The sequence below is a fragment of the Homo sapiens genome, chromosome 1, assembly GCF_000001405.40.
Source record: "Homo sapiens chromosome 1, GRCh38.p14 Primary Assembly".
In the NCBI taxonomy this organism is placed as follows: domain Eukaryota; kingdom Metazoa; phylum Chordata; class Mammalia; order Primates; family Hominidae; genus Homo; species Homo sapiens.
In genome coordinates, this window is record NC_000001.11 from 44,891,016 (window position 1) to 44,918,643 (window position 27,628).

A 27,628-nucleotide genomic window follows, 5' to 3' on the forward strand; every position below is an offset into this window, starting at 1 on the left:
TTTAATTGGTCTCTCTCCCTCTAGTTTTATCCACAAAATCTATCCTTCATACGGTAGATGGGAAAAAAAAGAGACTTTTTTTAAATTTTTAAATTTTTTTAAAGATGGTCTCATTCTGTCACCCAGGCTGCTGGAGTGCAGTGGTGTTATCATGGCTCACTGCAGCTTTGACCTCCTGGGCTCAAGTAATCCTCCCACCTCAGCCTCCTAAGTAGCTGGGACTACAGGCATGTGCCACCATGCTAATTTTTTTATTTTTAAATTTGTTGTAGAGATGAGGTCTCCCTAAGTTGCCCAGGCTGGTCGTGAACTCCTGGGTTCCAGTGATCCTCCTGCCTACCTCCAAGTAATCCTTCCTGCTTCAGCCTCCCAAAGTGCTGGGAATACAGGCATGAGCCACCGCACCCAGCTGACAGAATATTTCTGAAGTACAATCTGATCATGTCTCTTCTTCCTTCAATCCATCCTCTATTTTGTAGACACAGTGATTTTTCTAAAGTACAAATCTCATCCCATCTCCTTACACTTATTTAATGCTCAGGATAGTGATTACTTTTGTGTATGTGGTGGGGTAGGGGGATAGAATGAGGGGAGTTTCTGGAATTCTGGCAATGTTCTGTTTCTTAACCTGAATATAGTACTCATAAGGTATGTTCACTTTGTGAAAATTTATCAAGTCATAACACCCTTCTCAAATATGATCTCTGCTTGGAAGCCTTTTATAACATTTGTAGGCTTCTATGCTCTCACAGTAAAGACAGTTATATGTACTGCTTTTTGATCATGTGTGAGGAGGTATCATGTCTGAGGTACTATGCTAGGAAAATAATACAGATCATTTCAAGTTCTTATAGCAATGCTTATGATAGGTATTACTATTCTTATTTTATGTTTTGTAATTTTTGTAGAGATGGCATCTTGCTATGTTGCCTAGGCTGGTCTGGAACTCCTGAGTTCAGCCCATCCTCCCACTTTAGCCTCCCAAAATGCTGGGATTACAGGCGTGAGCTATTGCACCTGGCCCCTATTTTATAAAGAAGGAAATCAAGGCTTAGAGAGGTTAACTATCTTGCCTAGGGTTAATACAACTTTTATAACTGATAGAATTGAAAGTCACTCCACATCTGTCCTATAGTCCATGGCTCTTTCCACTATACCATATTAACTAGCATCTTGTGCTTAGTTCAACCAAAGCACTTTCCACAGGATTTAGAATTCTCTGCTTGCTGTCTCTTTACCCATAAACACACAGATTTTTGGATACAGAAGGTAGAGCTTTCTTGGCTGGGCCTGGTAGCTCACACTTGTAATCCCAGCTCTTTGGGAGGCCTAGGTGGGAGGATCTCTTGAGCCGAGGAGTTTGAGACCAGCCTGGGCAACATATTGAGACCCCATCTCTACAAAAAATAAGAAAATTAGCCAGTCATGGTGGTGAGTGCCTGTAGTCCCAGTTACTCGGGAGGCTGAGGAGGGAGGATCACTTAAGCCCAGGAGGTGGAGGCTGCAGTGAGCTGTTATCACACCACTGCACTCCACTCCAGCCTGGCGAAAGAGCAAGATCCTGTCTCTTAAAAAAAAAAAGTAAAGCTTTCCTAATTTGGAAATGTAATGAATTCTAAATACGTTTCTCTATTACTAATATTACTAATATTTCTAGAAGTCCCAGAGATAAAAATGAATGCAACTAGGAAGTTCAAAGGAGACTACCTTGATTTAATCTTGGCAGCACCTGCATCTTCAGATATCAGTATGCAGCCACCCAATAACAGCCCTGTTGAGAAGGTGTGTAAGTCACATACTCTTAGCTTAATTTTGTTGTTATTGAAGTAAAGGACACATTGTGCAATCTCTAGGACATCTAAGGATATGTAAGGAAACCAAGTACAGCCAAATCAATGGATGCCTGAACTGAACAGTAAGAAACCAAGACTACTACTGCCAGCCTCTCACAGCACTATCTGGTCCCTCATCTCTGCTTATCTCCACTCTGCTGTCTTGTGCTTACTCGTGGCTTTCTAGCTATTCTACACTTTCATCTTTTTTAATTTTTAACTTTCTTTTAGAGACAGGGTCTCTTTCTGTCTACCAGGCTGGAGTGCAGTGGTGCCATCATATATAGCTCACTGTAGCATCAACCTCATGGGCTCAAGTGGTCCTCCTGCCTCAGCCTCCTGAGTAGGTGAGACTAGAGGTATATGCCATCATGCCCAGCTAACATAACTTCATTTTGTATGTGGCTTTAATTATTACCTTGATTCTGACCTTGCCATGGCTGCCTATCCCCAACTCTTGACTTCACTTTGTGGGTCCTATCCTTATTTCTCTGTATCCTGACATAGCTGAGGCAAGGAAGTTGTGACTGCTCTGTTACTCTTTCAAGTGCAAATCATGTGCATGTGCATATAAGCATGTTGGCAACAGAGATATCCGACATCTGTGGTGGATGTTGCTGGCAATCAATTAAACAGTGATGGATTTTGTTGAGGCTGTGGCTGCATGATATTGAGCAAATGACTTTTGAGCATTATCTTCCTCTATAATATGAGTATAATACCTAATGAGAGAACTATTGTAAGAAATGAATATATGTGAAAAGCACCCAGCACAGTGCCTGGTACACAGTAGGTGGTTAAATTTTCTTCTTTCCTCTCTCTTCCTGCTCTGAAGGTCCAACCCCAAGACTGTAAGTACTGCATGGCAATATCAGATTCTAACACTATAAGAGGCTGACTGTAACCGTGGATACTTCTGGACAAGAAGGAAGTAATCAGCCTCAATTCTCCCTGTTAAGGAGACTAATCTTTAAGTCTCTTAAAGAGAGAAAGATAAATGGGGCTGGTGGGGGTGGGGAGCGGGGGAGGTTCTATACTAAAAGGAAATCAAGACTAATCCTGGTATACATTGCCTGGTATATATTGCCCATGGCTTTAGCTCACAAAGCTGGCATATTGGCATATTGCTTGAGTCCTTCATAGGGCCAGTGACAATCTAGGGCCCTGACTCAGGTCTAGGAGCAGCTCCTACTAAGGCAAGCAAAGAGCTGGGCCAATACCTGGGCTTCTAGATCTCCTAAGAGATCAGCTTCTTTAGGCTTAAACCAGCTGACATTATAAAACAGGGAGGAACACTCAGTTATCAAGAGGAATCACAGTCACAATACTCAGACTAAGATCTGCTTTGGCCCTGGACACAGAATCCAACACATTTTGAATTAAAATGTTCAAGAGATTCTGTGGAACATTCATCTATCATACTACACTCAGAAGTGGATAAAAAACTTGTAAAATGTGTACAGTTACTAAATTCTCATCAAAGAGAGTACAGATTTTCTTCTCTCTGCAGCTCTCCCTGTAGCTTTTCTGCTTGGTCAACTGTAGAAACCCACCTCTCTTCTTCCACTATTAATGTATTAATACTAAACTGCTTCTGTTATCTGTCACTACATCTCCTTTCCCTCATTCACCAAGTATATAATGAATGCCTTACAAATCCAGGTAGATATCCATTCTCAAAGAATTTGAGTGGAAAATGTTAACATGTAAACAAATAACAAAACCTAAGTGTGACTTTATTGAAAACATGATGCTTTTCTACATAAATAACACAGGGTAGAATATGTTAACTCTCAGAGGTAAAATATAACAAAGGATTGCTACAACAGTCCTTTCTTGAAGCTGTGTCTCCTAGGTTTACTCTTTCCTTTCCATTCCTAAAGGAGTCATCATCTGATGACCAGATGATTATAAGTGCCTCCTACTTATCTTGAAGAAATCTCTTTCCCATGCAGAATGGTTTATGTTCACTTGCCAGGTTGTATCATTGCTCATTTCCTGTAAGACTATTCTGTTTAAAGATCTGTAACTCCCTGCTCAGCTTTCAAGACCTTCTACATGCTGCTACCTACCACCAACCAATTCAATCCCATCTCCCACAACCTTTCAAAGACCTTCACTATTCCAGCCAGGAGTAAAGACTGTCCCTCAAGTAACATTCTAATTTGCCCTGCTGTGCCTTTTTACTTTTTCCAATATATTGAAATATATCAATTTTCAATATATGCTCTTTGATTGTAGCGACTCTGAGAGGTCAAGGTAGATGCGGGGAGGAAAGAGATAAGGGTCTCCTAAACAGATCTTGAGGTGGGGAAACAGTATGTGCTGAGGCTCTGTATCATTCTCTACTGCAGCAGGTTCTGGGAAAGTCCCATTTGGCAGAGCTTCTGGCCAGGACCTATAGCCATATCACAAACTTCAGGCTTGTCCTCAAGGTACACACACCATTGTGTTACACTTGCCAGGTGTGGGAATAACTAACTGGTAGTGGCCAAATGAACTACAAATAAGCTATAACAACCAGGATGAGATGACTAGGTTTGCTGTAAAACTGCCTGCATATACAGACACCAAAAGCCACAATCCTCTTTGATAGTATTAAGAAAGCACTGTCAGTTTTTTGAAGGTGTGATAATGATATTAAGGTATTTATTTAAAAAAAGCCTCTCTCTCTCTCTCTCTATATATATATATGTACATATACATAAAATATATATCTATTTTAAATATCCTTATCCTGGAAGCGTCCTTATATTTTAACTATACATGCTGAAATATATTTACAGATGAAATTATATCAAAATATTTACAGATGAAATTATATCAAAATGCCTTGCTTTAAAACAATTTAGGGTAATGGGGGGAGAGAAACGGTGGCATATATAAAACAAAATTGACAATGAGTTGATAATTGTTGAAACTGTGTGATGGATACATGGGAGTTCATTATTTTCTTTACTTTTGCATTTATGTGAAATTTTCCATAGTAAATCATTTTTTAAAAAGTCATCCTTTCTAACACAGTTGTGTTCTCTTCTGCCTATCAAGGCCTAGGCTCATTTCATATGGCTTCATTTTTATTTGGGAGTGAAAAATAAACCCTTCAATGGCCAAGAGTTAATTTCATTTTTGGAATACAAACAGCTTAGACTGGTCACTGAGAAATAGCTCTTGGATCACCCTCTAAATCTTGGCAACAAGTTACCCTGCTATCTAAAAAGCAAGGTCTCCACATTCCACCATGAGCTTAGGCTGTAATTTCCATGAGGGCAGGGCCATATCTGTTTATTTATCATTGATCCCATGGTTGATCTAGCACAATGCCTGGCTCATAATGGGTGCTTAATAAGTATGTGTAGATGGAATGAAAACATTTTTCAGAGGTCAGAAGGGAGCAGGGCAACTGTGTCCTTGGTAGGGGAAACAGAGCTATAACAATCCTTGGGAAAGCTTTCTAAAAGTCCAAATGATTTGTTTTACCATTGGCTCTACATGGGCCTCTCCACAGGAACTTAGCAAGTGTTGTGGGGGGGTGACAGGTAGGACACTGCAAGAAAGATCATACTGGGCAGGGGAGCAATCCTCCTTCCTCTTAATATTCCGATATATATTCAAGTCCATCAGCCAAAGGCAGAGCTAGCATTTAAACTCAGGTTCTCAAATTCTTTTCTCCAGATGGTCGGAGATACCTCTTGCTACTGTGGTATCTGTTCACCTAGATAAGTTTCCGCCTTGGATAGCACTGGTGAACTTTCCAAACTTATCCAGCAGTCATCAAGGGAAGCTAGCTGCTCCTATTCTTAACCATGCAGTTATTAAATCTTTTTCCACCTGTTCCTTTGAGGACTGTAGCTGCTTTTCTTATAAAAAATCCTTGAGATCAACTGCAAAAGGGGTTTTCTCTTTGAAAACTCAAGTCCGGTGATCTGCCAGACACAATCTCTGGAAACTATTTAAGTCCTACAATTCTGTTCTAAAACAAACAAACAAAAAAATCAGAAAATGTGCCAAATTTTGTTTCTCTGCACTCACTGAAGTGGGCTTCTTTTCTAAAATTGGGGGGAAACTTGCTCTCCTTTTTCTCTTCTATGGTTAAGTCTGTAGCCCTTTGCTAAGAGGGCCCATCTACAGGATAACTGCCTAGGAGAACATGTAATTAGAGACAAACAGCATAAGGGCTGTGGAGCTCACTCCTGTCAAAGGAGGGAAGAAGAGCCTGGAACTGGGCAGAAAGAGGCATCATGGGTTACCGTTAAGTGTTACAAAATATTTTGCTGATTTATTATAACACACGCTGCAAAAATATAAGCAGGGGACTCTGTGGTACAGATAAAACAACACTATATTGATGACATAATTTCATTTCTAAAACAAAAATGAGAACTAACTGTGCTATTGTGCTAATTTTAGAAACTGGTTATCTAAATTATGAAGGTTTAAAATTTAAGGAATTCACAAAGTAGCTTGTTAAGTACTGTAGGTTTGACTCTACCACCCTTTTTCTTACCCATTTTCCATTAGGAAATCCACGATGTATTTTTTCAAACAGTAGAGGTGGGCATCCACAAGACCCGTGTGGAAACGTATTCTAGGATGCCTGCAAAAAAATAAAAAATAAAAGAAAGAAAGAAGAGGCTCACAATCAGGTAACATGGTCTCCATTCTATTATCAGGTAGTAGGCACTGGTAAGTTTATGAGGGTCAGAGGCATGCTGCCTACATCTCTTTCTGGGGAGACCAGGACAGTGGACCCCAGCCCTGACTCTACCACATAAAAGGTGTTTTCCCTAGAAACCCTATGGCATACTTTCTGAGGCTTTTACGATTCTAAAGAAATCTGGTGAGACATCATATCACTGATAATCTACCTTCTTCTATTTGATCGTTAACTTTTTTTTTTTTTTTTTTTGAGACAGTCTTGCTTTGTTGCCTAGGCTGGAGTGCAGTGGCGTGATCTCGGCTCACTGCAAGCTCCGTCTCCCAGGCTCAAGCAATTCTTGTGCCTCAGCCTACCGAGTAGCTGAAACTATAGTTGTACACCACCATGCCCAGCTAATTTTTGTATTTTAGTAGAGATGGGGTTTCACCATGTTGGCCAGGCTGGTCTCGAACTCCTGGTCTCAAGTGATCCACCCACCTCAGCCTCCCAGAGTGGTTGGATTACAGGTGTGAGCCACCACACCTGGCCTCTATTATAAATTCCTACACACAATTCTTATAACAAACATTTTCCTGCTTCTACCCTAATTATCCTATTTTCCTCAGACCATGCCATGCTTTCTTTTGCCTCCACAATTTGGTATGTATTCTCCATCTTCACAGAAGATGGAGTAAAATTCTATGAATAATCCTAACTTGCTACTCTTATTTATTCCTCAGGACTCACCCCAGGATACACTTCCTCTAGGAATCCTTCACTGACAACAGTGAAGTTTGTGCTCCCACAAAACTTGGTATCTACCTCTATTGGATAACTTAACATATAGTAAAGAAATAGACTATTTACTTGTCTCTCTCTCTCCCACTAGACTGAAATTCAGTAGAGCAGAGATTTATCTTCACATCCTTAGCACTTAGCATTGTGCCTGACACAGAGTAAATGTCCAATAAATAGTTGTTGAATAAACAAATAAATGAATAAATGAGGTCAAATTAAGGCATCTGCCTAGGTGTAAAAAATGCCATGCTTGTAATGTTTGAGGTCATTCTATTTAATAAAAATAAATACACAGGGAAGGGGAGTATGGTTAAAAAAAAAAAAGAAGATTCCAGTCATAGATGCCTGGTTGTCTTCTAACTCTGTGTTGCTTGGCTTCGACTGCCTTGTAGGTTTTTATGTTTACTTTTAGAGACAGGGTCTTGCTCTGACTGGAGATAGCCACTTGCCTAGGCTGGAGTGCAGTGGCACAATGATTGCTCACTGTAGCCTCTACCTCCTGGGCTCAAGTGATCCTCCTGCCTCAGCCTCCTGTAGCTGGCACTGCAGGCATGCATCACTACAGCTGGCTAATTTTTTTTATTTTTGGTAGAGACAAGGTCTCGCTATGTTGCCCAGGCTGGTCTTGAACTCCTGAGCTCAAGCAATCCCCCTACCTCAGCCTCCCAAGCAGCTAGGACCACAGGAGCAAGCTGCCACACCTGGCTAATTTTGTATTTTTGTATGGGGCTTCACCATGTTGCCTAGGCTAATCTTGAACTCCCAGCCTCAAGCGATACTTGTATCTTGCCCTCTAAAAGTGCTGGGATTACAGGCATGAGCCACTGCATTCAGCCTATGTCTTAAACAAAACAAAACAAAATGAAACAAAACAAACAGCTTTATGGAAGTGTCATTTACATACCATAAAATTCACCTGTTTTAGACATACAATTTAATGATTTTTAGAAAATGTACAGAGCTATAAAACTATCACCACAATCCAGTTACAGAACATTTCTTTTACTCAAATAAGATCTCACATGACTGTTTATAATCAAACATTCCCCTTTCCATCTGATTAAAGAGCTTCTGCACAGCAAAAGAAACTACTGTTCTGTAAACAGACAACCTACAGAAATGGGAGGAAATATTCTCAAACTATGCAAATGACAAAGGTGTAATATCAAGCATCTATAAAGAACTTAAATCAACAAGCAAAAAACAACCCCATTAAAGGGTGGGCAAAGGACATAAACAGACACTTCTCAAAAGAAGACATACAGGCAGACAACAAACACATGAAGAAATGCTCAATATCACTAATCATCAGAGAAATATGAATCAAAGCCACAATGAGATACCACCTCATGCCAGTCAGAATGGCTACTATTAAAAAGTCAAACAACAACAACAACAACAGATGCCGGTGAGACTGTGGAGAAAAAGAAATGTTTATATACTGTTGGTGGGAATGTAAACTAGTTCAGCCACTGTGGAAAGCAGTTTGGAGATATTTCAAAGAACTAAAACTAGAACTACCTCTCAACCAGCAATCCATTACTGGGTATATATCCAAAGGAAAAGAAATTGTTCTACCAAAAAGACAAGTGTACTTGCATGTTCATCACAGTACTAGTCACAATAGCAAAGACATGGATTCAACCTAGGTGCCCATCAACAGTGGACTGGATAAAGAAAATGTAGTGCAATATATATCATGAAATACTATGCAGCTATAAAAAAGAACAAAATCATGTCCTTTGCAGCAACATGGATGCAGCTGGAGGCCACTATCCTAAGCAAAGTAATGTAGAAACAGAAAACCAGATATTACATGGTCTCACTTATAAGTGGGAGCTAAACACTGAATACACATGGACATTAAGATGGGAACAAAAGTCTGGGAACAGTGGCTCACACCTGTAATCCCAGCACTTTGGGAAGCCAAGGTGGGTGGATCACTTGAGGTTAGGAGTTTGAGAACAGTCTGGCCAACGCAGTGAAACCCCATCTCTACTAACAATACAAAAATTAGCTGGGTGTGCTGGCGGATACCTGTAATCCCAGCTACTCAGGAGGGTGAGGCAGGATAATTGCTTGCACCCGGGAGGTAGAGGTTGCAGTTAGCTGATAACATGCCACTGCACTCCAGCCTGGGCAACAGAGCGAGAATCATCTCAAAAAAAAAAAAAAAAAAAAAAAGGGAACAACAGACAACAAGGATACACAACCAGGGGGAGGGAGGAGAGCAAGAGTTGAAAAAATACCTGTTTTGTTCTATGCTCACTACCTGGGTGATGGGTTCAATCGCACCCAAATCTCACCATCACACAATATACCATGTAACATACTTGCACATCTAAATAACAGTTGAAATAATAATTTAAAAAAAACCAATCCCCTTTCTTATCACATCTCAGGCAATCATTAATCTGCCTCCTGTCTCTATAGATTTATAGATTTGCTTTTTCTGTCACTTAAAAAAAACTGCAGCCATTCTAATGGGTGTGAAGCAGTATCATCAAAGTTTTGGTCTGCATTTCCCTATGACATGATGTTGAGGATCTTTTCATGTGCTTGTTAGCCATTTGTGTATTTTCTTTGGTGAAATGTTCATTCAAGTCTTTTGCCTATTTTGAAATTAGGCTGTTAGTGATTTTTTTGAGTTGGAAGAGTTCTTATCTTTTCATTTCCTTATTTTCTTTCTTTTCTCAGAGACAGGGTTTCGCTCCATCACCCAGGCATGATCAAAACTGCAGCCTAGAACTCCTGGGCTCAAGTGATCCTAATGCCTCAGTTTCCCAAAGAGGTGGGACTACAGGTTCGTGCCATGCCTGGCTAATTGAAAAAAAAATTTTTTTTTTTTGAGACGGAGTTTTGCTCTTGTTGCCCAGGCTGGAGTGGAATGGCGTGATCTCGGCTCACTGCAACCCCTGCCTCCCAGGTTTAAGCAATTCTCCTGCCTCAGCCTCCATAGGAGGTGAGATTACAAGCGCCCACCACCATGCCCAACTAATTTTTGTATTTTCAGTAGAGATGGGGTTTTGCCATGTTGGCCAGGCTGGTCTCAAACTCCTGACCTCAGGTGATCCACCCGCCTCGGCCTCCCAAAGTGTTGGGATTACAGGCGTGAGCCACTGCGCCCAGTCCCTTTAAGATTTTTTTATAGAGATAGGGTCTCACTTTGTTGCCCAGGCTCTTCTCAAACTCCTGGCCCCAAGCGATCCTCCTGCCTCAGACTCCCAAAGCGCTGGGATGACAGGCATGAGCCACTGGGCCTGGCCTTTTTTTTTTTTTTTTTTTTTTTCTTGAGACAGGGTCTTACTCTGTCATCCAGGCTGGAGTGCTGTGGCGTGATCACAGCTCACTGCCCCCTCAACCTCCCTGGGCTCAGGTGATCCTCCCTCCTCAGCCTCCTGAGTAGCTGGGACTATAGGCACGTGACACCACACCTGGCTACTTTTTGCATTTTCTTTGTAGAGACGGGTTTTGCCATGTTCCCCAGGCTGGTCTTGAACTCCTGGTTCAAGCAATCCACCTGGTTTGGCCTCCCAAAATGCTGGGATTACCTGCAAGAGCCACTGCACCCGGCCCTCATTTTCTTAATAGTGTCTTTGGGGTTCAAAATCTTTAATTTTTAAGAAATAAAATCTATACAACTCTTACAGTTTTAGCTCTCATGTTAGGTCTGTAATCCATTTTCTTTTTTCTGTATGGAGTGAGGTAAGGTTCTAAATCAATCTTTCTGCAAGTAAGGATCAAACTGTTCTAGCACAATTTGTGTAAAAATCTATCCTTTTCCTGTTGAGTTGCCTGGACATCTCAGGTAAAAATCAAATGACCATAAACCTAAGGGTTTATTTTTGGACTCTTAGTTCTGTTCCACAGATCTGTCTGTCTGTCCTTATGCCAGTACCATACTTGTCTTGACTACCATAGCTTTATAGTAAGTTTTGAGCTTGGGAAGCATAATTTCTTCAACTTTTTTGTTGTTTTTCAACATTGTTCTGGATATTCTGTGTTCTTTGTATTTCCATATAACTTTTAAGATCAACTTGTCAATTTCAGCAAAAATATCCAACTGAGATTCTAATAGGGTTTGTGATAATCCTATAGATCTGTGAGAGCTGCCCTCTTAGACCACCTGGGCCCAGGAAGTCGAGGCTGCAGTGAGCTATGATTGCACTACTGCACCCCAGCACCTAGGCGACTAAGCAAGACCCTGTCTCATAATAATTAAAAAAAAGAAAAAAAGAAAGAAAGAAATGTTTCCAGTCAGGCACAGTGGCTCATGCATGTAATCCCAACACTTTGGGATGCCAGTGTGGGAGGACTGCTCAAGCTCAGGAGTTCAAGACCAGCCTGGGCAATATAAGGAGACCTTGTCTCCACAAAAAATAAAGAAAGAAAAACTAGCCAGGCATGGTGGCATGTGCCTGTGGTCCCAGCTACTCGGGTGTCTCAGGTGGGAGGACTGTTTGAGCCCAGGAGCTCGAGGCTGCTGCGAGCCATGAACGTGCTACTGCACTCCAGCCTGGGCAACAGAAAAGAGACTCTTTCTTTAAAAAAAAAAAAAAAAAAAAAAAAAAAGAAAGCTCCCAAAGAAGCGGCTGCCTGCTTTGGGCAGATTACTTTTAAATTTCGAGTAGTTCAAGAACCAAGCTGTACCCGTGTTTCAATATTTATTTACCCAAGTTTGTTCCAAATATTAACAACACATACTGTATGTCAGGGGCAAAGCTTTAGGATTTCTAGGGAAGCTGTAAGAAAGACTAACACACAGCTACTGGTCTATGAGATTATGCAGGACTGCATACTTTGAACTTTTCTGAGATTTGCTTTAATTTAAAGAAAGCTGAACACAAAGATATATGTACCATGAACACTGTACAAAACATCTGTGAACGATAGAGCTAGGGAATAAAAAAAGCAGTTCTGAAAGGCAGCCTTGAAAGAAGGAAATATGTCCATGAAAGACAAAATTAGTACTTTACATGTCCAAAGCTCTTAGTGACTCTAAAAAAAGGTCTTTAGTTAACAACAAGATCTTTAATTTTCCCCCAAAAGATCTCCAGGGATTTTCAGATCCTCATTCCCTTCAAATCTACAAAGGTCCCCAGGCTCAGGGCAATGCCAAATGTTCTTGAAGTCTGCTCCCTTCTTCCCCATTCCCAGCATCATCATGTGTGTGGGAGGAACTGAGTTGTTTTTATCCTGCTCACTGCCTAAGTACAGCAGAAGCCAACTGGGAGTTCTATTCCCCAATATGCTCATTGTACAATGCTTAGTTCCTAGAAGGGTGGGTAGAAAAGAGCTGACAGGCAAAGAAGCAGTTTATAGTAGCTGCATGTTTAAAAACTGAAATTCATCTAGACACCCTGTGTGAACACATTTAGATTTTCAGCATTGCTGTGAATGAGACCGTAAGAATTTCTAGCCTAGTGGGAGAACTGGTATGCATGTTGATATAGTCCACAGTTACTCAGTGAGAAAGGAAAGCCATCATTAATTTAAACTGAGTGTGTTGGCTAGGTGTGGTGGCTCATGCCATAATCCCAGCACTTTGGGAGGCTGACATGGATGGATCACCTGAGGTCAGGAGTTCGAGACCAGCCTGGCCAACATGGCAAAACCCCATCTCTACTAAAACTACAAAAAAAATTAGCCAGGTGTGGTAGCACACACCTGTAATCTCAGCTACTCAGGAGGCCAAGGCAGGAGAATCGCTTGAACCCGGGAGGTGGAGGTTGCAATGAGCTGAGATCATGCCACTGCACTCCAGCCTGGGAGACAGGGCAGACTCCATCTCAAAAAAACAAAACAAACAAACAAAAAAACCCAAAAAACTGAGTGTGTCCTGCCAGCTTATATGGCTGCACAGAATGACTTTTTCCTAACCAAGCTAAGTTCAAAGTTTGGGGACCAGAGAATGGTATTGGGTGAGAACAGAATGAAGAAAACCCAGTTGCACAAAAAAAAGTCAAATACAAGAGAAAATTAATTTTATCACAGGCTTCTCTTTGCATGAATATGAATGTTAACAGAGAAGGAAGTGTCATGGATGGCTTCTGAATTCAGATGCCAGTGGAACTGGAGCTTGAAACAGTTATTCATAAAACCAGAGATAACAATTCAGATGAGGATAAAAGCCTCCTACAGTAACTTAACTATCTTGCAGTGTTCAATGCAGCAACATAAACAACTCCTCTATTTGAAGACCTTCAGATAATCACCTTCTACTTTATTTGGCAATCTTTTTTTTTTTGAGACGGAGTCTCGTTCTGTTGCCCAGGCTGGAGTGCAGTGGCACAATCTCGGCTCACTGCAAGCTCTGCCTCCTGGGTTCATGCCATTCTCCTGCCTCAGCCTCCTGAGTAGCTGGAACTACAGGTGCCTGCCACCGTGCCCGGCTAATTTTTTGTATTTTTAGTAGAGATGGGGTTTCACCGTGTTAGCCAGGATGGTCTCGATCTCCTGACCTCGTGATCTGCCCACCTCGGCCTCCCAAAGTGCTGGGATTACAGGCATGAGCCACCATGTCCAGCCAGATTTGGCAATCTTAAACATATTCCAACAAAGAAGCATCTTCTCTCCCGCTAAAAGAATCAGAGCTAATTCACTACTCCCTAATCACTGCAATTTAGAAGAAACTAGAGACCAAGATATGCTTGAAATAATCAAGTTTTCTCAGAACTAGGGAAAAGGGAATGACCTATGGCTACTACTTACTAGCTACCTATAATTTTAACAAGAGGTGCTGGGGCAAGCACCTGTGGTGTGGCTATCTGGTATTTGCTACATAGGAAGGCACTAACCATACCATCCCAATGCCTGATCTTGGTCACACTGTAAGTGGTAGGAATAACAGATTCTCGATTGTTAGGAGTGCATATGGAGTTATCAAACTAGAGGTCTGCCTGTTCAGCAGGGTAGGCTATGACACCATAGCCCTGAGGTGCTCAGGCCCTCTCCAAAAAAAGCAGTTGTGTTGAGGTGAAAACCCTGGACTCAAAGCAGCAGAGACTGCCAACAGTGGAAGGATTCTTAAGAGTTCCAAGTTCTGCTCCAGGTCCAGTTTTTAGGTGACCTTGTGGGTTTGTTCTTGTTCTTGTCCAGATCCAGCTTTCCTTTCTGACTGATGGTCTGGCTGACTGATAGTGATTTCAGGCTCAACACTAGACACAGAAACAACAGCATACATACACTACTCTACGAGCTTCCGTAATTGTGTAATAAATCCTTTATTCTCTATGACTCACAGCATTTCTGTTTCTCTGATATAAAAATTGCTACTAGAAGTGGTCCTGGAAAAAAAAAAATCTTAAAGATGGGTTTGCTGAACTTGTTCTGTGTTATTTGGAATTGGTTCTCTGATCTGATTAGATTTAAAGGCCTATCAACTAATTGGATGAGGCCCACCCAGATTAGCCAAGATAATCTCTCTTACTTAAAATCAATGGATTGTTGATATTAATTACATACAAAAATACCTTCATAACAACACCTAGATTAGTGTTTGATGGAATAAATAGGTACTACAGACTAGCAAAATTGATACATAAAACTAACCATCACACAGACTAATGAGAGCCACATGTCTAATAAGTAACACAGGAATTAGCAAAGCCTTCCTAGGCAGAATCACACTGCTGTTCACCCTCACCCATCTCAACTCAGCGTGCCAGAACCTGCTGAGATCTAGAAGCATCTCACTCCCCAAGAGGTGCTCAAGAAAGCATTCTGCACAGCACCACTGACAAGAAGCTTCTACTCAAAGATAAGCCCAAGAGTGTTACATCTTTCAAGCTATCCTTCTAAGCTGTCTGGCCCATACAACTCTGGGTGGGGAAAACTGACACATTAATTTGCACTCCACTCTAGTCTCACTGGTCTAGCTAATATGACATTTCAGCAGGTCATGCCCATCATGAGGTAGAGTCTATTTTCTCGTCTCATGAATCTAGGCTGGCCTTGTGACAGCCTTGACCAGAATTATCCCAAGTACACAAGCAATATTCCTACTGTCTTCAGGCCTGGTTCCAAGCTGGTTGTGTAGGAGATGGTCACGGCAAAGGTTCAGTGAAGGATCACTCAGGAGTTCATGCCTCAAAGCTTTGTTTCAGCTTCTGCATGGCTAGAGTTATACTAAATTAGACAGAGTTTCACTCTTGTTGCCCAGGCTGGAGTGCAGTGGCACGATCTCGACTCACTGCAACCTCCGCCTCTCAGGTTCAAGCGATTCTCCTGCCTCAGCCTCCCGAGTAGCTGGGATTACAGGCATGCGCCACCATACCCGGCTCATTTTTTGTATTTAGTAGAGACAGGGTTTCATTATGTTGGTCAGGCTGGTCTTGAACTCCTGACCTCAGGTGATCCGCCCACCTCGGCCTCCCAAAGTGCTGGGATTACAGGCATGAGCCACCGTGCCCGGGATAAAAGATATTATGAAACAACCTAGCTCAGACATTCCCCACCCTTGAGGTTCAACAGCTGGGCAAATAACTTTCTCCTAAGTACCAGGTATGTACAAGACACTAAGTTGACATCTATATATTAATGCTTACAAATTTATATCTGAAGCATAGTCCTATCCTCTGAACACCGAGTCTATATATGACTTACTCCTGTTTACCTGGATCCCCAAATGAACTTCGGATCTCCCTGCCACAAACCCAGTGCTTCCTATCTGATTATTATCCTGCTGCTCAAACCTGAAATGTGAGTCTTTTTTGACACCACTACACTTCTCAACCCCAAGGTTCAAACACCAAGTCCTCAGATTTTACCTGCTAAATCCTTCTCTAACTTATCTACTTTTCTCCAACTCCACTGTCAATACCCTAGTTCAAATTACCATTACTTCTTACCTGGATTACTACAATACCTTCCCTTACTTGGTCTCTCTGCATCCTCTCTTACCCAACTCCAATCCTTTCTCCATATTGTATCCAGAGTTATCTTTCGAAGGCAAATTTGATTGTGTCATTCCCTGCTTAAAATGCTTTGGTAGTGGCTGGGCGCGGTGGCTCATGCCTGTACTCCCAGCACTTTGGGTGGCCGAGGTGGGTGGATCACGAGGTCAGGGGATGGAGACCATCCTGGCCAACATGGTGAAACCTCATTTCTACTAAAAATACAAAAATTAGCTGGGCGTGGTGGGGCGTGCCTGTAATCCCAGCTACTTGGGAAGCTGAGGCAGGAGAATTGCTTGAACCAGGAAGTCAGAGGTGGCAGTGAGCCAAGATCGTGCCATTGCACTCCAGCCTGGCGACAGAGCAAAACTCCTTCTCAAAAACAAACAAAAAATGCTTTGGTAGTTGGGACTACAGTAGATTGTTTTAAAAATGGTCACAGCCGGGCACGGTGGCTCATGCCTGTAATCCCAGCACTTTGGGAGGCTGAGGTGGGGGGATCACCTGAGGTCAGGAGTTCAAGACCAGCCTGACCAACATGGAGAAACCCTGTCTCTATTAAAAATACAAAATTAGCCGGGCATGGTGGTGCATGCCAGCTACTCGGTGGCTAAGGCAGGAGAATCGCTTGAACCCAGGAGGTGGAGGTTGCAGTGAGCCGAGATCACGCCATTGCACTCCAGTCTGGGCAACAAGAGCGAAACTCCATCTCAAAAAAAAAAAAAAAAAAAAAAAAAAGATGGCCACAATTATTCCCCTCTCTGTACTCATATCCTTTTGTAAAGTAACTTTGCAGCTCCTCCCATCATGAGGTAGAGTCTATTTTGCATCTCATGACTCTGGGCTGGGCTTATGACTGCTTTGATCTGAAGAATGTGGTGCAAATAATGCTGTTCCAGCCCTTTCTCCAATTCACAAGATTAAGAAGTCTCAGCTCTGCCTATAAAGACTCTGTTGCCAAAGCACATTCAAACACAAGGTGACACTCTGGCTCCATTAATGTCCTCTTCCAACAAATTTACTGGGATCCTACTATGTCAGGCCATGTATTAGACCTTAGGCCTACAAAGACAAAATACAACCACTATCCTTATGTAACTTATAGTCCAGAGCAATACAGGGTTATAAATGTTACCACAGAACTTTCTTCAGTATATAGGGGAGCACAAAGGAAGAAGCACGGTTCTGCCTATGACAGGAAAGATTAGAAAAATCTTCACAGAAAAATGATATTTGAGCTGAGTCTTGAAAGAAAAATAAGTTCTTAGCCAGGGAGAGAAGAGTAACTTTGGCTGAAGGATTACCAGGAACGGTGAAAAGTAAAAGGACAAAGACATTACAAGGAATGCAGAAGTTAACAGAACTATAAGCAATTTTTCATAGCTACTGATAGAATGTTGAGAATGGGGTTGTGTTAGAGAAAGATGAGATATAAGGCTGGAGGGGTAAGCATGATTAGATAACTGAGGGCTTTAGGAATGTGTGCTTTATTCTACAAGCAATGTATTTATAGATTTGGGATAAAGAGATAGTGGAAAGCAAAGTTGAAAATTCTGGAGAATGTTGAAAAAACTAATGGAGAAAAGGTTCCAGGAGTGGCAGAAGAAAGGGGGTAAAAGGCATAAATGAAGGGACTGGCCCCAAACTTCTTCTAATGCTGGAGGAAAGGAATCGAAGGTGGGTCTGAATAAAGGCAAAGTCATGGATGGGGTAGCTGGGGAAATCAGCAGGCCCATGTTTTGACAGGAGAATGGTGATGGTAGAGAACAGCTTCTGAGAGGAGTGGAAAGCTGGCCCAGGACAAATGGAAGAATGAAGAGTGGTTCTGAGGGTTCAGCTAAGATAGGAGCCATGAATTTATAGTGCTGCCAATTTATATCCGTGCATAATATTTCTCCTAAAGACTTTGGACTTGGAGAGAAATGCCTGAAGGCACAGGACCTAGATTGGATGAAGAAGGAAATGAGGGGGGAAAAGAGAGAGAGAGGGAGAGAAAAAAGAGAGGGTAGGAGTGGTGGTAGTAAGGGACTAGAAAGATTTGAGGCTGAAATAAGGAAACAGGATTCTGGGTAAAGATGGCAGATTAAACATAAGCGTTAACCCATCCTCTTTCTGAAAACTCACTGAAGTGTCAGTACAGATTTTTTTTTTTTTTAAAGACATAAACCCACAAGGACAAAGACCACAAGAAGAGATGACAACAAAATTTTGGAAGCTGGAAAACAAAAGGATGGTGGTGGTAACAGATTTAGCATATCCAAGAAAGGTGAATCCTAAACCATCTATAAGGAAAGCTAAGAAGCAGCTTGATTTGTATCTCAGGAGCCCTGAAATGATCAGGAATTGGCAGCACAGCTTTTACCCACCCAGGCAGGAGATTGGAAGATTTTTCTCTGAAGTCTATATGGCCAGCTCCAAAGCAAAGACTTAAAGATATTGACATGGGTTATCTTACAGCCATATCATTTTATAGAAGTAAATTAAAAGTACAAAAGAGTAAGAATACACTGGACAAGATACCTTGGGAAAGGTTTGTGATCCTAACTTCCACAAGCCCTTCTTCCCTTCTGTACCTGCCCCCATCCCAAACTGCAAATTAAGAGAGGTATTTTGGGAATTAGGGCTGGTTAGGAGCAGCAGAGGTACTAACTTACATAAATAGTATTTCAAGACTCCCACACCATTGGGAAAATAATCAAGGGTTTAAACCATTTCTCATCATCTGTAGTCCCAGAAATACAGATCTGGCCATGATCTTTGAGGTCTTGACTGAAGTCCTTGACTCCCCAGATATAGATGTCTAAACCTTCCAAGATGACCTTGTGAACATTTTATTCCATTTTAAAGATATCCTTTAGGAGCTTGTTTTAATATTTTCATTACTCTTCCAGTAAAAAAGCTTGACAACTATTCAAAAGAAAACAATGTAACATTGGGGAAAAGCTACATGATTTTCTTATTAAATATTTGGCACAAATATCTTTTACTTATGAACTATTAAAAACATATGTCTGTCAGAAATAAAGCAGGAATTTTAGAGCTGGAGGGGGGTTTCTTTAAAGACCAACTAAGCCAATTTCAGCTGGGGGAAACTGAGGCTTAGAAAAATAAAGTTATTTGCTCAAGGTCACACAGCTGGTTTGTCTCCAGACTAGACTGCAAATTCTCTGAACCTGAATTTTCAGTAACAAGCTCCTTCTACCAGAACATTCTTTCCTACTACATGTAATGCCTCTCCAAGTCAGAAATGCAACAATCAGACATGTAGGAAAGGTGTTGTGCTTTGTTTAAATCCAACAAGGTCATAAGAATCTGGGCCCTTTGAGGTAAAGTTACTAGTACTGACTGATGACTAGCTTGCTGGGGAGGCTGCCTCTGCACCTGACCATATTCTAACAGGTGTCTTTGAAATCAAGCAAACATTTTATCCCTCCCCACCCCCCCAAGTAATGCTTTTTTTTTTTTTTTTTTTTTTTTTTAAAAGAGAGAAATGGGTCTTGCTATGTTGCCCAGGCTGGTCTGAAACTTCTGGGCTCAAGCAATCCTTCCACCTCAGCCTCCTAAAGTGCTGGGATTACAGGTGTGAGCCACCACACCCAGCCTCTCTCTCAGAAAGAGAAAACTGATGGGATGTACATTCTGTCATTGTCCTTTTCTCTCTCTCTTTCTTTTTTAAATTTTTTTTCCATAGGTTTTGGGGGAACAGGTGGTATTTGGTTACATGAGTAAGTTCTTCAGTGGTAATCTGAGATTTTGGCGCACCCATCTCCTGAGCAGTATAGACTGAACCCAATTTACAAAAGTTAAAAAAACTTTACAAGAAGTTTCTGATTTTCCTATATACATGAAGGCCGTATCCAAGATAACTGGTGTTTGCTCACTAGGAGCTAACCTCCATCTTTGGAAATTCAGCGTTTTAAAAAAGATAAAAACAGAAGGAAGTACTGTATTCTCATAATCAGAAAGTGCTTGAAAATCTGAATCTAATTAGCTTTTAACCAGCATCTCACTTGAGGCAGGAGGAGCACAACACCCCAGAGGGTCATAGGAATGAGAGAATATTTTTATGCATATTTATCCAGCCTGCAACCCTTTTATAACTACACACCAAAGATCCTGAATCACTGGGGTGTGGATTATAAATCAGAAGAACAAGGAAAAAAATCTGCCAACAACTAAAAATGCAGCCTAGTCTTAGGAAACTGATAGAAGATCTGCTCTCAATGACCCCAGTGCTTAGTCAAGGCCCTGAGCTTGACATCTATGAAGGAAAAAGACACATCCACCTGCTCTTCATTATCACCTCACCTCTGACTAGGTCCATCTTCTTTGCTCCCATCATGCCCAAGCCTTGCTCTCATTGTCAAATGTAATTACAATTAAGGCAGTTACTAACACTCCATTGTATGGAGCCATAAACTAGTTCCCACAGAGGTTAAAAAGAAAACAGAAAACAACCTCCACCCACCCTTTAGTTGTAACCAGAGAAACGTATGAGTCTTGCTTTTTTGTTTGTTTGTTTTGTTTTGTTTTGTTTTTTTATTATACTTTAAGTTTTAGGGTACATGTGCACAATGTGCAGGTTAGTTACATATGTATACATGTGCCATGCTGGTGCGCTGCACCCACTAACTCGTCATCTAGCATTAGGTATATCTCCCAATGCTATCCCTCCCCCCTCCCCCAACCCACAACAGTCCCCAGAGTGTGATGTTCCCCTTCCTGTGTCCATGTGTTCTCATTGTTCAATTCCCACCTATGAGTGAGAACATGCGGTGTTTGGTTTTTTGTTCTTGCGATAGTTTACTGAGAATGATGATTTCCAATTTCATCCATGTCCCTACAAAGGACATGAACTCATCATTTTTTATGGCTGCATAGTATTCCATGGTGTATATGTGCCACATTTTCTTAATCCAGTCTATCATTGTTGGACATTTGGGTTGGTTCCAAGTCTTTGCTATTGTGAATAGTGCTTTTAAGAACTTAATGTCTAGGGCTGCTATCTCTAATACAGAACAAAGCATAAACATCAGTGCTTGATGGATGCATGTGAGTCAGGACCCTCATTTCACATAATAATTGCTAATCACAATTAGTTTTCCTTTCTGTATTCCAAAGGACAGAATTCCTTGAGAGTCTTGAATTTAGCAATCCAACACTGTGATACTTTTCAAGTCTTATATACCTTAAATCTATCCTACATACTTCTGTCAGATTATTTTTTTTCAGAATCCTATATTTGAATAATCATTTCCTTCCTCAAAAGTTTTTAATAATTCCCTGGTATTCAAGGCTCTCTATTTTTAGACCAACTTAACATCTCAGCCTTATCTCCTCAAGTTTCCCAACATGAACCTTCCATTCAGGTCAAACTGTCCTTCCCCACCTTTGCTCGTGGCATTCTCGGCATATAGGATTCAGCTGGCTTCCCATGTCCCTTTCCATATCCGGACCAAATCAATCCTTCAAGTCTGAATTATTCTATTCTGTTTCCCTGACCACCTCAGCGCCTAGGATTAGATACCTCCTTTGAATTCTTAGAACACTGTCTGTTGGACATAACTGTTCAGTATCTGATATCCCTTGCTATTGTTTGTTAACCTTTTCCATGCATAATTGAATCTTCCACCAAGGCTGATGAGCTATTTGAGATAAAGTCCCCTGCCTCAAGGAAAAAGTCTTCTGCCTTAAATACCAAAACAGTGGTTTGACCAGATTTGAAGGATGTGTTCCTGAAAGTAGAATGTCCTCATGAATAAGGACTAGTTCTGTCCCTAACTAGATACATTGAACAAAACCCCTTCTTCCTTGCTTTCAGAATCATTGCCTGAAATATAGAAGACTAGACTAACTAAATGACCTTCCAGCTGTGGCAGTTCGTAATTCTAGAAATATTACATTGGTGCAAAAGCAATTGCGGTTTTTGTTAAAAAAAAAAAAAAAAAAAAAAAAAGGCAAAAACCGCAACTACTTTTGCACCAACCTAATAGCTACAAATAAGATCATATTTTTTAATACATTAAGAGATATTGTTTAATTGCATCTTGTGGCGAGCTTTTCTGAAATACAAAAAAACTCCCTCTGCTTCCTACGTTTTTATTTTGATAAATGGATTTAGGAAAAAAAAATCCAAAACAAAACCCTTACTTCTTTCTTCGCAGAATTCCAGAGCTAGTCAGCTATATCCTGACCACTGTAAGAAACAAGCTGTGCTCACAAGGCTCTGTCACAGATATTCTTTATGGAGAAAAAAAAGAATCCGAGTGGGGTCAGCAAACTACAGCCTGCCAGTTAGATGGCCCTGTTGCCTGTTTTAATGGAAAAAAAAAAAAAATCTTGTACAGATAGGGTCTCACTCTGTCACCCAGGCTAGAGTTCAGTGGCATGAAAAAAGTTCACTGTAGCCTCAAACTCCTGAGTGCAAGGGATCTTCCCGTCTCCGCCTCCCAAGTAGCTGGGACTACAGGCACGCGTCACCATGCCCAGGTATTTCTTCAAAAACTGAGATGGGGGTCACAGGATGTTGCCCAGGCTGGTCTCAAACTCCTGGCCTCAAGTGATCCTCTTGCCTCTGTCTCCCAAAGTGGACATTAGAGGTGTGAGCCACCGCACCCAGCCTTACTTGCTTTTAAAACTTTTTAAATTGGGAATTTTTTTTTTTTTAGATGGAGTTTCACTCTTGTTGTCCAAGCTGGAGTGCAATGGCACAATCTCGGCTCACTGCAACCTCCGCCTCCCGGGTTCAAGTGATTCTGCAGCCTCAGCCTCCCAAGTAGCTGGGACTACAGGCACGCGTCAACATGCCCAGGTAATTTTTTCAAAAACTTTTTGTAGAGATGTAGTCTCAGGATGTTGCCCAGGCTGGTCTCAAACTCCTGGCCTCAAGTTATTCTCTTGCCTTGGTCTCTCAAAGTGGACATTAGTGGTGTGAGCCACCGCACCCAGCCTTACTTGCTTTTAAAACTTTTTAAATTGGGAATTTTTTTTTTTTTTTTTGAGGCAGAGTTCCACTCTTGTTGCCCAAGCTGGAATGCAATGGCGTGATCTTGGCTCACTGCAACCTCCGCCTCCCAGGTTCAAGTGATTCTCCTGCCTCAGCCTCCCAAGTAGCTGGGATTACAGGTGTGCGCCACCATGCCTGGGTAATTTTTTGTATTTTTAGTAGAAATGGGTTTCACTGTGTTAGCCAGGCTGGTCTCAAATTCCTTACCTCAGGTGATCCGTCCACCTCGGCCTCTCAAAGTGTTGGGATTATAGGCGTGAGCCACTGTGCCCAGCCAGAAAATTTTTTAAAATACAGAAAAGTACAAAGAAAAAAATAATAATCATCAATACTTCCACATTCCAGAATTGTTACTATCTCAGCATAAATGTTGTTTTTAAAAAAGAAACATCACATTTATTTTATGAAAAAAGATGTACTTATTTTACAGAATTCAAGGATTTTAGAGAATTACTAAGAGTTTAAAAAATTCTCCTTCCTTCCTTCCTTCCTTTCTTCCCTCCCTCCCTTCCTTCCTTTTTTGAGACGGAGTCTCGCTCTGTCACCCAGGCCGGAGTGCAGTAGCACGGTCTTGGCTCACTGCTAGCTCCGCCACCCTGTTTCACGACATTCTCCTGCCTCAGCCTCCCAAGTGGCTGGGACTACAAGTTCCCGCCACCACGCCCAGCTAATTTTTTGTATTTTTAGTAGAGATGCGGTTTCAACCGTGTTAGCCAGGATGGTCTCGAACTCCTGACCTTGTGATCCGCCCACTTCGGCCTCCCAAAGTGCTGGGATTACAGGTGTGAGCCACCATGCCCCGCCCATTATTTTAAATTTTATTTTATTTTTTGGTCAGGCGTGGTGGCTCACACCTGTAATCCCAGCACTTTGGGAGGCCGAGGCAGGTAGATCATTTGAGGTCAGCAGTTCAAGACCAGCCTGGCCAACATGGTGAAACCCTGTCTCTACTTAAAATACAAAAATTAGCTGAGTGGTAGTGGCACATGCCTGTAATCCCACCTACTTGGGAGGCTGAGGCAGGAGAATTGCTTGAGCCTGGGAGGCGGAGATTGCAGCAAGCAGAGATTGTGCCGCTGCACTCCAGTCTGGGTGACAGAGTGAGACCCTGTCTCAAAAAAAAAAAATTATTATTATTATTTTTTGAGATAGGGTCTCGTTCTGTCATCTAGGCTGGAATGCAATGGCATGATCACAACGCACTGCAGCCTCGAACTCCCCGGTAATTCCTCTCAAGAATGATGAAAGTTCACTGCAGCCTTGGCCTCCCAGGCTCAAGCAATCCTCCTGTCTCAGCCACCTAAGCAGCTGGGATTAAAGACATGTGCTGCCATGCCCAGCGAATTAAAAAAAAATATTTATAGAGATGAGGTCCTGCTATGTTGCCCAGGCTGCTCTTGAAATCCTGGGCTAAAGTGATTCTCCAGCCTAGGTCTCCCAAAGTGCTGGGATTACAGGAGTGAGCCACTGTGCCTGGCTTTAATTCTTATTACCCAGGAATAACAATCATTATAGACATTTCTTTATGTACATATACAAATAGATGTACTGTTATAAAAAACAAAATGCTATTTTAAAAATTTTATTTTTAATATAAAAATGACTATTCAATTTTACTGGTATTTAACAAAAGAAAAAAGAAAAAGTAAAAATGAAGGAAATAGTAAACTTAATATATCTTCACCATTAAAGATACTATTTCTTAGAAGATCTTGTGCCTAAAAACAGATTTTAAGAACAAAATATTAAGAGGTTGAAATTATTATGGTTTTTTTAGGTCTGTTAATGTTTTCTAACTTCCTACTATGAAAGATGATGTTATTAATATCTAGCAATGTTTTTTCTTCCCACACTTTTATCTCTTGATTTTTGGCAGTTATATTTTTATGTTGTCCAGGTTCAAGATATTTAAATTACATTCTGCAACCATAATTCCTATAGTTGTTGTGTGTCAGTTCTACATATAAATGGGCTAAATGTTAATGAACATGGTTTCTCTATTACCATATTCTTTATTTTGACTCAATTCTTGGCATTTTATTTTATTTTAATTTTGAGACAGGGTCTCTCTCTGTTGTCCAGGCTAGAGTGCAGTGGCATCATCTTGGCTCTCTGCAGCCTCTGCCTCCTGGGCTCACACAATTCTCCTACCTTGGCCTCCGGAGTAGCTGGGACTACAGGGATACACCACCATGCTTGGTTATTTTTTTTTATTTTTATTTTTATAGAGACAAGATCTCACCATATTGCCCAGGCTGATCTCAAACTCCAGGGCTCAAGTGATCCTCCCACCTTGGCCTCCCAAAGTGCTAGGATTACAGGCTGGTTGAAGTTTTATTTTCAAGAAGGGCTCAGGCCTGGCATGGTGGCTCACTCCTGTAATCCCAGCACTTTGGGAGGCCAAGGTGGGAGGATCACTTGAGCCCAGGGGTTTGAGACCAGCCTGGGCAATATAATGAGACTTCCTCGCAACAAAAAACAAACAAAAATTAGCCAAATGTGGTGGTGCACACCCATAGTGGTAGCTACTCAGGAGGCTGAGGTAGGAGGATTGATTGAGCCCAGGAGGCAGAGGCTGCAGTGAGCCACTGTACTCCAGCCTTGAGACAGAGCAAGATTCTGTCGCAAAAAAAAAAAAAGAAAAAAGAAAAGGAAGGGCTCAGGGCTCATATGTCATAAGTCTTTTCATGCCTGAGAATGCCTACTGCTTTTATATTTGAATAAAATCTTCATTGTTTATAATATTCTTTTTTTTCTGGTTATCTATCAATCTGCATACTCAGTTTATAATATTCTCGAGTTCCACTTGCTTTCCCTGAAAAGTCTGTGGACGGGACATTGTTCCTCTTGTATTAAATGTTGGGAATAACTCAGAGGTAAGCCTAATTTTTTTCTTCCATGTAAATGATTTGCTTTTTGCCTCTGGATACTTGAATTCTCTCTTTATCCCTGAAGCTTCATAAGTACATTAGGATAAATCTGGCCAAATTATCTTAGAACACACTATACTCTTAAAATCTGCAGATGTGCCAGGTGCGGTGGCTCACACCTGTAATCCCAGCACTTTGTGAGGCTAAGGCGGGCCAATCACCTGAGGTCAGGAGTTTGAGACCAGCCTGACCAACATGGTGAAACCCCGTCTCTACTAAAAATACAAAATCAGCCAGGCATAGTGGCTCATGCCTATAATCCCAGCTACTCTGGTGGCTGAGGCAGGAGAATATCTTGAACCCGGGAGGCAGAGGTTGCGGTGAGCCGAGATCACGCCATTATACTCAAGCCTAGGCAACAACAGCAAAAACTCCATCTCAAAAAAAAAAAAAAGAAAAAAAAATCTTCAGATTTTACTTGATTCAGAAATTTTAATGTATTATATATCTTGCTCTTATTTTAAAAAATTAAAATTGAAGTTATATATGCATATAAAGAGGCAAGTAGTTTCTCAAGGCTTTTAATGAAAAAAACTGAATCATCTATTCCCTTTCCTGCCCATTTTCTGTTCCCCAGATATGCCCATTTGTAACTCTTTTAGCAGATCCACTTAGTATTTATTTTGCCACCAATAACACTCTTTTTTTTTTTTTTTTTTTTTTTTTTTTTTTTTTTTGAGACGGAGTCTTCCTCTGTTGCCCAGGCTGGAGTTCAGTGGTGCGATCTCGGCTCACTGCAAGCTCCGCCTCCCGGGTTCACACCATTCTCCTGCCTCAGCATCCTGAGTAGCTGGGACTACAGGCGCCTGCCACCACGCCCGGCTAATTTTTTGTATTTTTAGTAGAGACGGGGTTTCACCGTGTTAGCCAGGATGGTCTCAATCTCCTGACCTCATGATCCACCCGCCTCGGCCTCCCAAAGTGCTGGGATTACAGGCATGAGCCACTGTGCCCAGCCTTTTTTTTTTTTTTTTTTTTTTTGAGATGGAGTCTCGCTCTGTCCCCCAGGCTGGAATGCAGTGCAGTGGCACAATCTTGGCTCCACTGTAATCTCTGCCTCCCAAGTTCAAGCGATTCTCCTGCCTCAGCCTCCCGAGTAGCTGGGATTACATGCATCCACCACCACGCTCAAATAATTTTTCTAATTTTAGTAGAGAGGATTTCACCATGTTGACCAGTCTGGTCTCAAACTTCTGACCTCAAGTGACCTGGCCGTCTTGGCCTCCCAAAGTGCTGGGATTATAGGAGTGAGCCTCTGTGCCCAGCAATAGCATAGTAGCTTTTTTTTTTTTAAGACGGAGTTTCACTCTTGTTGCACAAGCTGGAGTGCAATGGCGCCAGCTTGGCTTACTGTAACCTCCGCCTCCCAGGTTCAAGCAATTCTCCTGCCTCAGCCTCCTGGGTAGCTGGGATTACCAGTGCACACCACCACACCCGGCTAATTTTTTGTATTTTTAGTAGAAACAGGGTTTCACCAAGTTAGCCAGGCTGGTTTCAAACTCCTGGCCTCAGGTGATCCACCTGCCTCT

The 27,628-nt window shown here is 41.6% G+C and overlaps 1 protein-coding gene across 6 annotated transcripts in view; it reads right to left on the bottom strand.

Moving 5' to 3' along the window:
- EIF2B3 (eukaryotic translation initiation factor 2B subunit gamma) overlaps nucleotides 1-27,628 on the bottom strand; it is a 136,074-nt gene that overhangs the window by 40,494 nt on the left and 67,952 nt on the right. For 4 of the 6 annotated variants that reach the window (NM_001261418.2, NM_020365.5, XM_047433501.1 and 1 more), the window contains one exon: nucleotides 6,340-6,429. The exons of the other annotated variants lie outside the window; for them this stretch is intronic. In NM_001261418.2, coding sequence (NP_001248347.1) covers nucleotides 6,340-6,429 — 90 coding nt within the window. The remainder of the gene's footprint in view (nucleotides 1-6,339; nucleotides 6,430-27,628) is intronic. 6 annotated transcript variants of the gene reach the window in all.